General features: G+C 51.7%; 1 protein-coding gene across 4 annotated transcripts in view, besides 1 other annotated feature; it reads right to left on the reverse strand.

The window, feature by feature from the left end:
• Positions 1 to 1151: 1151 nt before the first annotated feature.
• Positions 1152 to 13154, reverse strand: part of SDK2 (sidekick cell adhesion molecule 2) — a 310062-nt gene continuing 298059 nt past the window's right edge. For 2 of the 4 annotated variants that reach the window (XM_047436313.1, XM_011524915.3), the window contains 2 exons: positions 5552 to 5708; positions 1152 to 5222 (listed from right to left, as the gene is read on the reverse strand). In XM_047436313.1, coding sequence (XP_047292269.1) covers positions 5137 to 5222; positions 5552 to 5708 — 243 coding nt within the window. In that variant the 3' untranslated portion in view covers positions 1152 to 5136. Of the gene's footprint in view, positions 5709 to 13154 lie in introns of all 4 variants that reach the window. The other 2 variants (XM_011524914.3, NM_001144952.2) reach the window with 1 other exon arrangement.
• Positions 3500 to 4399: an enhancer, noted in NCBI's record as "H3K4me1 hESC enhancer chr17:71332871-71333770 (GRCh37/hg19 assembly coordinates)". NCBI's record gives its function as "activates a minimal SCP1, AML or CMV promoter by ChIP-STARR-seq in naive H9 embryonic stem cells {active_cell/tissue: H9 hESC(naive)}" and the evidence as "EXISTENCE:reporter gene assay evidence [ECO:0000049][PMID:30033119]".

Genomic DNA, 13154 nt, shown 5'->3' on the forward strand with positions numbered 1-13154 from the left:
ACTTGAGCCCAGGAGGTTGAGGCTGCAGTGAGCTGTGTTCATGCCTCATGCCACTACACCACTCCAGCCTGGGTGACAGCGCAAGACTCTGTCTCAAAAAAAAAAAAAAAAAAAAAAAAAGGCCGGATGCGGTGGCTTATGCCTGTAATCCCAACACTTTGGGAGGCCGAGGTGGGTGGATCACCTGAGGTTGGGAGTTCGAGACCAGCCTGACCAACATGGAGAAACCCCGTCTCTACTAAAAATACAAAATTAGCCAGGCGTGGTGGCACATGCCCGTAATCCCAGCTACTCGGGAAGGCTGAGGCAGGAGAATCGCTTAAACCCTGGAGGCAGAGGTTGCGGTTAGCTGAGATTGCGCCATTGCACTCCAGCCTGGGCAACAAGAGTGAAACTCCGGTTCAAAAAAAAAAAAAAAGTAGACAGAGAGAGATTTTCCCTCTGTTTCTCTTGAGTCTATTGAGTCCACATGACTTAAGTAATGTGAGATAAATGTGGTATAATGCAACACCGCTGTACTCATAAATTCAGCAATCTAAGCCCTAACTCTAACCCTGGGTAGATTAACTGGGTTAGATCCACCAAACAACATAGCATTTCTCATGGCATTAAGATCACTGGGAAGTGGGGTGCTAGCTCTGTAGAAATTAAAATAAAAATGGACAAGGAGCTTGCCTTAAAATATCAGAGAGGCAGCATTATGTTTTGAGAGCCAGAAGGCTTTAGTACAAATCCTGGCTCCACCACTCCCCGAGGGCAAGCCACTTAAAGTCTCCCTGTCCCAGGTTTCCTCCTTGGGACTGTCGCAAAGATTCCATGAGTTAATAAACGTAAAGTGATTAGAACTGTGCCTGGCACAGAGTGAATGCCATAGACATATTAGCTATTGCTATTATTATTATTCACTATAATTTGCACATTGCATCAAGTAGGTTCTTATTCTAAAAGTTTAAAATAAATAAAATAGTGCATTTCACTGGAAGGCACTCACTTATGCATTAAGAGAGCAGATAAGTCAGACCCTTGACTCTTCTCTGCAAAAGCACAGCATGGCTAAAAATTGCTGTCTGGGGAATGAACTGCTTGGGTATGATACTGGGACAGGTGACCCCATTCATGTAACAGGAAGGAAAAGAATGTTGCTTCAAATCTCCAAAAAAAAAAGTTTATTTATAAAATACTGACAGTTTGACAGGACACGGGACTTCTTGTGGTATATATTTCAAATCAATTTCTTTCTTACCTTTCATTTAAAAAATAAACCTGCTAACACGCTATATGACATAGAGATATATATTTTTTTCTTACAGACAGACACCTGCCATAATGAATACTCTCCCCATAATTTTTTGTTATATCTTTTAAATCAAAAAATAAAGATTTGTGTTGATTTTTGTTTCTGGAGTCTAGATGGATGGAGAAAGGTAACACGTTTAAATGCTTTTGGTTATTCTGATGGAAACAAAGAGAAGGGGGGTGGTCCCGAGGGGGCACCTGTGCTCAGGTGGTGGTCAGGATTGCCATGTGCGCATGCCCATGGGTGTCCCTGGATAGGGCCATACAGAGGCACTGGGGAGCGGGTGGCGGCTGCTCAGATGGTCTCCCCTTTACCTTCCTGCCCACCAGCCCCTCACCCAGGGTAGGCACCTTCAGATGTGCACTCTGGGAAGCTGAGGGAAGCCCCTGCCCAGCCAGAGTGGCACTGTGGTGAGGCTCTGGCACCTTTAGAAGCACTGCCCAGGGAGGCGTGGGCAGCAACAGAAGGCCTTGAGGCAGCGTGCACCAGGTGGGGGCAGCCCCCGCTGTGTCCTTGTTTCCTCTAAATCACGGCAGTGCCAGGTTTGGGGGTAGGAGTTTTGGGGGCCGGGGGGTGAGGGATGGACAGAAGGGGAGGCAGCCTGGGTTTGCAAACTCTCTGGAGCCCTAGGAGGATGGTGGTTCTGGAGCCCAGAGCATCTTTTTGGTTTGTCTTGGCAGTGTGGGTGTGGAGCTGACGTCAACTCTGGAGGCGCAGCCAGGAAGGGGAAAGCCCTGGTGTGCCCAGCATGGGCTCCTGGGTGCAACACTGGGAGATTGCTTAGGGCACAAGGAGGCAATGCCAAAGGTGCCAGGTGTGTCCTGGTGTGAACCTGCTTTGGGTGGAGTCCCACAGGCAGGGGCCCTGGCATCACTGGCACGGAAAATCACAGGCCAGAAAGGGTCCCACTCTTTCTACAAAGGGCAGGGCCCACCACCCCTTTCTAATGTGGCCAGGTTTCTGGGAGGACGGTTGGGAGCCTCGGCTGTGCCAGTAGATATGTAAACAAGGGCAAAGAGACGTGTCCTGAAAAAATCTAGAGTTCCACAGCTGCAGGCCTGGGCTTCCAGCTGTGGCTGGGGCTGTGGAGACAATATTCCAGATGAGTGGGTATTGACTAAGTGTGGGACTTTCACCATGGGCCCAGCCTGATCTCATGGGCTTGTCTAAATTTGCGTGGTGTCCTCACCCTCTCAGACAATAGATCCCAGCCACGCCCCAAGTGCAAGCAACCCAGGCCACCTGTGCCTCACAGGGGAGAGATGGCTTCAGCCATCAGAGGGAGTTCAGGAGTCTCTTTGCTAACACACATACAGATGTGTGTTCTGTGCATATTTGTGTGTGCATGTGTGTAAGCACAGGCGTGCATGGGCACCATCCCGCATGTACACGTAGGTGTCAGCATGGGTGCGAATGAGCGTGTGGGGAGTGGGGGGGTGGAATATCTTAGTGCACCAGGTGATTCATTAAAGGCAAAGGAAAATTGACCTCATGTGCAATATATACACAGACACAATGTTTTTACTCACTCCTGCTTCCTCCCAAATAATCCCTCACTGGGCTGGGCTTAAATAATTCCCTAATGCAAACTGGGAACTTCCTTAAATGGTTAAATGCTCAGCAGAGAGGGAAAGGGATGAAGTTATTTAAAAAAAAAAAAAAAAAAAAGATGAGAGGAAAGAAAAGAAAGCTGTGCGGCACGATCACAGGCCGGCAGCTGCAGATGTGCTGCCATGGAGATGCCAGATGCTGCAGAGGGTGGGGGCGGAGGTGGCAGGGGTGGAGCAGGTGTCCAGCTGACTCCACTGCAGCCCCCAGACAAGTCCAAGGAGGCCCCGAGAGCACCTTACTTCCTGGAGGGGCAGAACCTCAGCCCTTGGTTCTCCTTTGGGGAAGATTGTGCTTCCCTTCCCAGGCCTCCTTATTGGAGAAACCGCTTTTTGGACACTGGAGCTGGGCTGGCCTGTCTGCTGAGCCATCTTCCAGCATCTCCCCGTTCACATTTCCCAGGGGTCAAGTGCTTCAGGAAAAACTCATGGCTGGGTGTGCCCGTTCTTTGGGCCCCAGACCCTGACTTCCCTTCCCGGTCACCATTAGCACAGTGACTGACTTGGGGCTGTAGGAGAGTGGTCCAGGCTCTCTCTTACCTTGGCATGTTTCCCAAATCTCCTACTTGGGCTTCCTTGAACTCTGCTCACCCACCCCAACAGAGCATCATCTCTTGGGCAGGGCCAGCAGCGCCTGTACACAGTGCACAGAGGGAGCCCTGCTCCACGAAGGGGCTCACGCTGAATCAGACAGGCCCCTGTGGGCCATCTGCCACCCATCTCAGCGGTGGGGCAGGTGTTGGGCTGGCCTTACAGGGCTGGCTGAGGGCACAGAGGGCCTTGGACAATGTATGGAGTTAGATAGAAAGGCTTCTCCCTAAACCCTGGCATCCGTAAGTACCAAGTGGACGGGAAGATCCTGGCCACTGGATGTGGCTTTTTGCAGAACACTCCTTGGAGCAGATTGTGTATGTGTATGTGTGTGTGTGTGTGTGTGTGTGTGTGTAAAAGCATTCCCTCCCATCAGCTATTCTTGTCACTTGGTCCCATCTGACCTGCCCCTGCTGGGCGTGCAATTCAAATGCTGGGTCCACTTTGGACTGAGCTTCCTGACCTGCCCCTTCCCCTCCCCGCCCTGGCCAGGCGGAGCCCAGCCTGGAAGCTGTTACTGGGGGTTAGGGTGTCTTTGCCTTTTTGCCTGTAAACTGGGTGCTAGGCTGACTGAGCAAACTCTGGGTATTCCAGCCTCTGGACCAGGGACTTGGGCCACCCCTCTGGGCTCCTGTGCCTCTGTGCTTAGGAGGCTGCCGGGTGGCAGTGAGAGGGACACAGATCTGAAAGTGAGTGTGCTGTCTGGCTAGGAGGGCCCAGATGAGTTTGTTCTGGAGAGGATCCCTAGACCCTGTTCCTTGTAAGTGCATGGGAGATGTGTGTGTGTGTGTGTGTGTGGTGAGGATCTATCCAGTGGAGAGTGACGTGTCTGCCCAGAGGGAGATCCCTCAGCTGTGCCCCACTCCCCAGCCTTGGGAAGCTGACTACCCCTTTAAAGAGAGGACGGATGGAACCTGGATTGGAAGAAAGAGAACAGTCAAAGTGTCATTCTTATCTTGCCCACAATGCGTTAAACCTAATCATCCCACAGTGCCAAGGCCAGTCGCCTTATTTACACCTCTGCTCCCCAGACTTCACCTTTCCTTGTCCATGCTCAGGAAAGTCAATTCCAGCACAGGGAGGCAGGGGTCAGTTGTGGGGGGTTTCTCCCCTACCCTTGGGCTCTCTTCCTTGGATTCAATATTTTAAAAAATATGCAGGAACAAGGAAGGCGCTAAGCAAATTCTCACCCTTTAGTTTTTTGTTTTTTGTTTTTCTTCCTTTTTCTAAATAAACCAAATGCTTGGTGGAGAAGTTGAGCAGGGGAGATGGGCAGTAGAGGTTGCCAAGACAGGGCAGGGGGTCTGGATGAGGCTGTCCGATGCCTGCCAGCCACAGTGATGGTGCATGGAGGGAAGGAGGAGCAGAGAGAGAAGATAGGCGTGGCCTCCGGGATGCCCATTCTTTTTGCAGAGAGCAGCGGCAGTGGGTCCAGGGGTCCTGGAGGGGCTGGAAGGGGGCAGCTGGCTGGACATCCAGAAGCTTTTTCTTCCCTCGGCCACGCCTGCCTGGCGGCCTCCAGTCCTTAGCCTCCGCTCCCTCTCTCTCTCCAGATGCCCGCCCCACTCCGTGTCCATAGCAGTGACACAGCCACTTCCCCAGCTCCGTGTAATTCCCAAGGGAGCAGTGAACCCCACCATCTCAAAGCTGAAGAGCTGCTGGCCACACACATCCTCTCACGGTTTTCTCCCTCCTTCTGAACGCCGGCTTTGCTGGCCCTGGAATCTCTGGAAAAATAAACTCAGGAGGTGAAAAGTTGACTTGGTTTCTTGGTGTTTTTGTTTTCTGGCAGGCAGTGAGAGGAGGGGTGAAGGAGGAGTTTGGTGCCATTTCTCTTTCTGCTTTTTCCTCTTCTGATGTCAAACAAATGATGAAAATCCTGCTATGGGAGCCCGGGAGCCTGGGGCCAGGCTGCTGGGGGGACGGTAGAGGGTGCTCTGCTGACTTGGGGGGTTAGGGGGGTTCTGGGGCGTTGGAGTCCGACTGGCCTTGGGCCGAAAGAGGCTGCCCTGCTGGGTGCTGGTGCTGTTGGTGACGGTGGTGTGGTCTGGCTCACCCGAGTCGCTCTCCGTGTAGCTGTAGGCCTGTGCCCTCGAGATGCCCTTCTGCTGTCGCCGCCACGAGTTGTAGTATGTGGGGTCACTGATGTAGTGGTTGACAAAGGAGTGGGCCTTCTGGTGGTTTGAGTCGACCTCGTACTCGCTGTCACTTCCCTGGGAGGACAGAGAATCAGGGTGTGTCAGTGGCCCCGTAGGGACAGGCCATTGTGGTTGGGGCCGGAAGGCACAGGGCATTCTGGTTCAAAACTCTGCTCTGCCTCTTTCAAGACTTGGACTGTGGGCCTCCCAGCCCCCTCACTGCCAAGGGGGTCTGGTGCCCGTTTGTGCCCGCCTGCTGCTTCCTTCACAGCAGATCCGGAACCGGAAGGATCTACTATGGGGTTGGCCCAGAGCTGGGAGATACCTGATAGAATCAGAAGACCTGAGTTTTTTTTTGTTTTTGTTTTTGTTTTTTTTTTTTGAGACAGAATCTCGCTGTTGCCAGGCTGGAGTACATTGGCATGATCTTGGCTCACTCCAACCTCTGACTCCCTGGTTCAAGCAATTCTCCTGCCTCAGCCTCCTGAGTAGCTGGGATGACAGACATGTGCCACCACGCCTGGCTAATTTTTTTGGTATGTTTAGGGGTTTCACCATGTTAGCTAGGCTGGTCTTGAACTCCTGACCTCAAGTGATCCACCCGCTTCACCCTCCCAAAGTACTGGGATTACAGGTGTCAGCCACTATCCCTGGCAAATTTTATTTTCTTTCCTTTTTATTCTTTTTTTTGGGGGGCGGGGAGTGGAAGGGGCACAGGGAATCACTGTGTTGCCCAGGCTGGAGCACAGTGGTGTGATCCTCTCTGTAGCCTCAACCTCCTAAGCTCAAGCTATCCTCCCATGTCAGCCTTCTGAGTAGCCAGGACTATGGGTGCATGCCACCACGCCCCACTAACTTAAAAAAATTTTTCTCTTGTGATGAGCTCTCCTTATGTTGCCCAGGCTGGTCTAGAACTCCTGGACTTAAGTGATCCTCCTGCCTTGGTCTCCTAAAGTGCTGGGATTACAGGCGTGAGCTACTTTACCTTACCTTTGTTTTCTTTTCTTTCTTTCTTTTTTTTTTGATACGCAGTTTCACTCTTGTTGCCCAGGCTGGATGCAATGGTGCAATCTGGGCTCACTGCAACCTCCACCTACCCGGTTCAAGTGATTCTCCTGCCTCAGCTTCTGGAGTAGTTGAAATTACAGGCACCTGCCACCATGCCTGGCTAATTTTTTGTATTTTTAGTAGAGATGGGGTTTCACCATGTTGGCCAGGTTGGTCTTGAACTCCTGACCTCAGGTGATCCACCCGCCTTGGCCTCTCAAAGTGCTGGGATTCAGGCGTGGGCCACCGTGCCCAGTCTACCTTTGTTTTCAATTGAAGTGAGGTTCACATAACCGAAAGTGAACCATTCTAAAGTCTATGACTCAGTGCATTAGGACCGTCGCAGTGTTGTGCAACCACCACTTCTATCCAGCCCTGAATCATTTCCATCACCCCAAAGTAAAACCTTGTACCCAGGAAGCAGTCACTCCCTATCTCTGCCCCTACCGGTCACTCCCTATATCCATGCCCCTGGCAACCACTAATCTGTTTTCTGTCTCCAGGGATTAACTTATTTGGGACTTTCCTATAAATGGGATCATATAATATGTGGTCTTTTGTGTCTGGCTTCTCTGACACAGTGTCATGTTTTTGAGGTTCAACCACAACCTACTAAGTTACCATCTTGGTCCAGCTTCTGCTTTACTTTGTGACTGGGGACAAAGCCAGAGCCTAATTAAGACCTTTAGAGGCTCTGGACAGTGAAAAATGCCTGTGCCTGTCCACGTGTGATCCAACATAAAAACAACACTTGGTTACAAACTAAGCATGAGAAAAATCTAAACCAAAGTTCAGAATTTTCATGTAATGAAAACCTTAAAGTTTTTTTTTTTTTTTTTTTTTTTTTTGAGATGGAGTTTTGCTCTTGTCGTCCAGGCTTGAGTGCAGTGGCACGATCTTGGCTCACCTCAACCTCTGCCTCCCGGGTTCAAGTGATTCTCCTGCCTCAGCCTCCTGAGTAGCTGGGATTACAGGCATGTGCCACCACATCTGGCTAATTTTTGTATTTTTAGTAGAGATGGGGTTTCGCCATGTTGGTCAAGCTGGCCTCGAACTCCCAACCTCAGGTGATCTGCCCACCTCGGCGTCCCAAAGTGCTGGGATTACAGGCGTGAGCCACCGCGGCTGGTCTGTTTTTTTTTTTTTTTTTTAAGAGACAGGGGTCTCTCTTTGTTGCCTAGGCTGGTCTCAAACTCCTGGGCCTAAACTATGCTCCTGCCTCGGCCTCCCAGTGTTGGGATTACAGGCATAATTACACCACACCCAGCCTGAAGTTCTTTTTTACTTTTAAAGATAAAAATATTAAATTATTCCTGACTTTTTTTTTTTTTTTTTTGACACTTTGATGTCCTAGGCACAGGCTTCATCTATCTATTGGGGACATCAGCCCCAAACAAGAATCAATCTCGGTTGGAAAGTAAAATCTGAATTGTGGAGCTAAAAACATGGTGCACCCCTTCCCCTACCCTGAGCTCCCAGCAATGTTTTGAGAGCTAATAAGACAACAGATGGGCCCCCCCTCAGAACTCTCTGGAAGAGAAGTGCTCCGATTTTAGCGCACAGCACACGATCAGTGCACTGCAGCTCAGAGGACCCCACCCAGGCCTCCTCAGTCCTGCCCAGCTAATGCCCCTGCCTGGGGGCAGTTAGCGAATCACAGCAATCCAAGTAGAACATAAAAGCCAGTTAGCCCAATCCAGACAAGTTTGGGATGGGGAGCTGTGTCCTGCTTTACAGGTAAAGAAAATGGAGTGGGGACCTTTGTCCAGAGGGTCTGGGCTTTGGGAAATGAGATGCACGGCTTGTTCTCAGGAACTCGGAGTCCTTCATAACATGGGGATACATCTCGAGGGATGTAGCTACAATGAATAGAACTATAATGATCCCCGCTAATGGAGCAGGCCCTCTGCCAGACAGTCTGAAACGCTGACATGCATAACTGTATTTAGTTTTCACACCTCTGTGCGGCAGCTCCTATTGCTACCTGAGCACCGACGCTGCCTGGGTACTGACGGGCACATAAAGTACAGGAAGGGTGAGGGTTTTGCTGGGGAAGTGATCCGGCCGGGCTTGAACTCCAATCTGCCTGATTTTCTAAAGCCCACACACCTCTTAACTCCTACACTCCTGCACTCCTGCCTGGAGACCACAGGATGGGAACGAGAGCTCCCCCCAAACCCCCCACCCCGACTCCCAGCAGGAATTAAATACTCCCTAGTCCATCTGCTAATTTATGTTCTCTGGCCCCTCCCCTCCCTCTCCTCACCCCTCTACAACCCCAGCCACTCTCCTTACCACCCCTGCAGCAGACACTCCCCCGCCAGGACCTCAATCCTCTTGGCAGGCACAGCCGGCTGCCCAAGACAATGGAAAGTCCCTGGGCTCGGTCTGCCCCATGACGCAATGCAGCACAATACAAGCCCCTTTCTGTGCCTACTGCCCAGCTGCCCGCCCAGGAGAACAAAGAGGGGGCACAGGCAGGCCAGGGAGACTCCATATGCCGAGCGGGGGCACCTGATGCTGGGCCGAGTGAGGCTGGCCTGGAGCAGCGGGGATCTGTGAGGCAGGAGGCTGGGGGTCCATCCCGCCCAGGAACAGTGAGGGTCTGTGAATGCGGGGGACCAGACAGGGATGTCCCCCAGTTTTCCCTACAGGTTCGGTCTTTCCACCCACTAACTGACTTGAACAGTTGTTAGCATCAGCTCCAGGGGTTCTAGAATTTTGGCTAGCCCCAGGCCCCAGCTTTGCAGAGGAAGGAACCCCTGGGTGACTGTGGGACCATCCCACAGTGAAACGAGTCTCTGGGGGGAGGAGCTTGTGGCACGGGGAAGTTCTGGCTCTTACCAGCAGAGGAAGCCATCACTCAGGCTCTCTCAGCCTCAGTGTCCTTGTCTGTAAAATGGGTAGAGTTCCATAGTTCACAGGGTGAAATGAGCTAACCCAGGAGAGAATGCTGTAAAAGGTATTATCAATGGGGACAGTGAGGGTGGGCCTGGGTGGGAAAGGGAAGAGATGGAGTGAGAAGCCTCAAAGCTCCCCTGGGAGGGATTAGAAGGGGCCAGGAAGCCGGGGAGGCTGACTCAGTGCTCAGGCAGGTGGAATGGGAGTAGAAGGTTAGCTGATACCCCACCCACTAACCCCCGACTCCAAGACAGAGGCATGTCCGGACTGGAAGCAAGGTGGGGAGTGGGATTCTCTAGCCCTCCTAGGGGCCCAGATCCCAAAGCCCACTCATCTAGACCATCCCCGTCCTACCAGCTACTATCTGCAGAATGCCTACTGATCCCAGGCACTCTATGGGCAGCATCTCGGGGATGGAAGGCACTAGAAGGGAGAGCAGGGAGCCAAACAGAGCCCGCGCTGCGGGAGGGGCCAGGCAGGCGAGAGTCTGGTCTGCCTCTTCCCCCGCTCCGCCTTCCAAAGCCAAGGCAGGAGGGCTTTGCATCAGCGACTGCTGCTCCCGCCTCCATCTCCCTGAACATCTGTTTCTTTTCGGAGTGGGGGTAGGGCGAGAAGAGAAGAAAGCGAGGGGGAGACCAGGGGCTCCTATTGCAGCTTTCAATTCTCACGGGCCTCGGTAATTGAATGCAGCTTCCCAGGGACCGGCCCAGCACAAAGGGGGCCTTTCAGGGGCTGTCCTGCCAGGCCGCCAGGCAATCAAGTGACTGCTTCGTCTCCCTGGTCTCTTAACAGCTCCTCAAAGCCACTCAATCAGCAATTACTGGGGTCTGCGGAGGGGGAGCACAGACTCCAGGCCTGGTGATGGGAGTGGGGAGGGAGGGCCAGAAGGAGGCAGGACCCCTGGAGAAAAGAGGAAGCAAAGCAAAGCCCTTTTGCTTTTTTGTTCATCTCCAGCCCAAAGGATCTGGCACCAGACTCAGCCTTAGGGATGGTGTTGAGACCTTGGGGTCAGGCAGGGGACCCTTATCTTGTTGAATCTCATGAAGTCTGGGAGGAATGTGTTGCCCTAGATGACAGAGAAGTCACCTTGTGAAACTCCGTGGGAGACTGGAAGCAGGAGCCCCTCCCTCATCCACGGTCCCAGGGGCTCTGCACTGACTCTAGCCTGAAGCCGGCAGCGCATCTGTGCGGGGTGTTCCGCCTGTCCCCTGGATGCCTCTACCCGGGGGGCCAGCCAGGGTCTCTCTGCAGGGGCTGCAGCCTCTGGATTAAAGGTGGGGTAGGGGTGATGTGTCTCCTGTGTGTCTCTGAAGAACCTCAGAATTGTGCCCCTGGAGGCACAATTTTGTCGAGGCTCTGGGCTCCCTGTGTTAAGATAGCTGGAAATCTCCCAAGAATGTCCTTTGAAAAATGTCAGCTCAGAAGCAATGTCATATGTGCCACCTGTGCCCTTATAGGTAAAGTGACAGCCAATGTGTACCCCTCCCCCCACACCCACAACCGGCTGTCAGAGATGTCTGTGGTCAGGAGGCTCAAGGGAGGTCACTGGGGTGGGGTTGGAGGCAGTGAAGGCCTCTTTCCTTCAATCTCCTCTCCGTGCTGGGCAGCTGCACGAGGCCAGGCTGCAGTAGGCATGACCCTCCAAGCAAGCTGGCTCTAGATTTGAATCCCAGTTGCTTGTACTTCTGAGCTCTGTGACCAAGGGCATACTGCCTCACTTCTGTGAACCTCAGTTTCCCCAGCTGTTAAATGGGGATAGTTTCACTTGCATGGCAGGACAGCTAGATGTTAAATGAGAATATACAAAGCACAGGGCTTGGCACACAGTATGTAGCTTTGCCTCTCCCCGGCCTGTCTCTGCCCCACAGCGTTTCTTGTTTGGCACAACTTTGGGCTGCGAGGATCTGGGGGATGGTCAGGCTATCAACGAGGTCTCAGCTGAGCCTGTTGGACTCATGGCCCAATCTGATGGAAAAGAGGCAAACACAGGCAAAAGGTCAGAGCCGTTCAGTAGAATGGTGACGGCAGAACATAACCCTGCTCCAGCCAGCTGCAAACCTGCACGCTTCCCTTCTAGGCATGACCCAGTGCTGTTCACACTTTGAGGCCCAGCTCAAATAAATGCCACCTCCTTCAGGCAGCCCTCTCTGAGCCTCCAGGGGAAGTGGTCTCCTTATGGTGCTTTATCTGCCTCTGCATCGCAGGAAAGAAACAGAAAGACTTGGCCGGGTGCGGTGGCTCACGCCTGTAATCCTAGCACTTTGGGAGGCCGAGGTGGGCGGATCACCTGAGGTCAGGAGTTTGAGACCAGCCTGGCCAACATGGTGAAATCCCGTCTTTACTAAAAATACAAAAATTAGCTTGGTGTGGTGGTAGGTGCCTGTAATCCCAGCTATTCGGGAGGCTGAGGCAGGAGAATCGCTTGAACCTGGGAGGCAGAGATTGCAGTGAGCTGAGATCAAGCCATTGCACTCCAGCCTGGGGGACAAGAGCGAGACTTCATTTCAAAAAAAAAAGAAAAAAAAAGAGAAAGACTTTTGTTCACCACTTTCTTCCTCAGGTTGCTGTGGTTCCATAATATTTGAATGAGAAATGAAAACGTGGTTATTTATACACGTATGGTCTTCCCTAGTAAATCATAACATATTATAACGCAACATTCATTAGAGTCTGTCTTGCCCACTACTGTAGCCATCGTTCCTATATAGCGTCTGATTCCATTTTGTGGGTACAGAACAAATAGCTGTTGAGTAAATGCATCAAGGAATGAATGAATGAGCTTCATAGAGAGCAAACCCATCACTTACTCCTCCCACGTACCACACAGAGTCTTACCTGTGCTGGTATGCAGGGCAGATGTCAATAGGGAGAATGGGGGCGGGATGCATTTTGGGCTTGTTGTCAGGGGTGGGGGCCTTCCCAACTCTCTTTTTCATCATCTTTACTTGCAAATGGCCTTAATGCCACCAGTGCTTCCTAGAGGACTCTGAAGCTTAGGTGGTGTCATTCACGAACAATCCTTAGAATCCTTCCTGGCTTCTACTGAACACTTCATAAATGTTTGCTATTATAAATCGGTGCATAATAAATAGTACAGAAAATATGATTCACGGCTGGGTGCTGTGGCTCACACCTGTGATCCCAGCATTTTGTGAGGCCGAGGTGGGTGGATCACTTGAGGTCAGGAGTTCTAGACCAGCCTGACCAACATGGTGAAACCCCATCTCTACTAAAAATACAAAATTAACTGGGCATGGTGGCACACGCGTGTAATCCCAGCCACTTGGGAGGCTGAGGCAGGAGAATTGTTTGAACCCGGGAGGTGGAGGTTGCAGTGAGCTGAGATCGCGCACCATCATACTCCAGCCTAGGCAACGAGGGCGAAACTCCGTCTCAAGAAAAAAAAAAAAAAAGAAAAAGAAAACATGATTTGCTCTGTGTATCTCCTTTTTAAAGTGTGCTTAATTTGATTTCAACGCACTTGAAGAGGCTGTCCATGATACTGCAAGAACTGAAGATCAAGATTAGATGGTGTGTGCCATTGGCTCGGAATTTCTTTTCCATTGAGATTTA

Source organism: Homo sapiens, chromosome 17 (genome assembly GCF_000001405.40).
Source record: "Homo sapiens chromosome 17, GRCh38.p14 Primary Assembly".
In the NCBI taxonomy this organism is placed as follows: domain Eukaryota; kingdom Metazoa; phylum Chordata; class Mammalia; order Primates; family Hominidae; genus Homo; species Homo sapiens.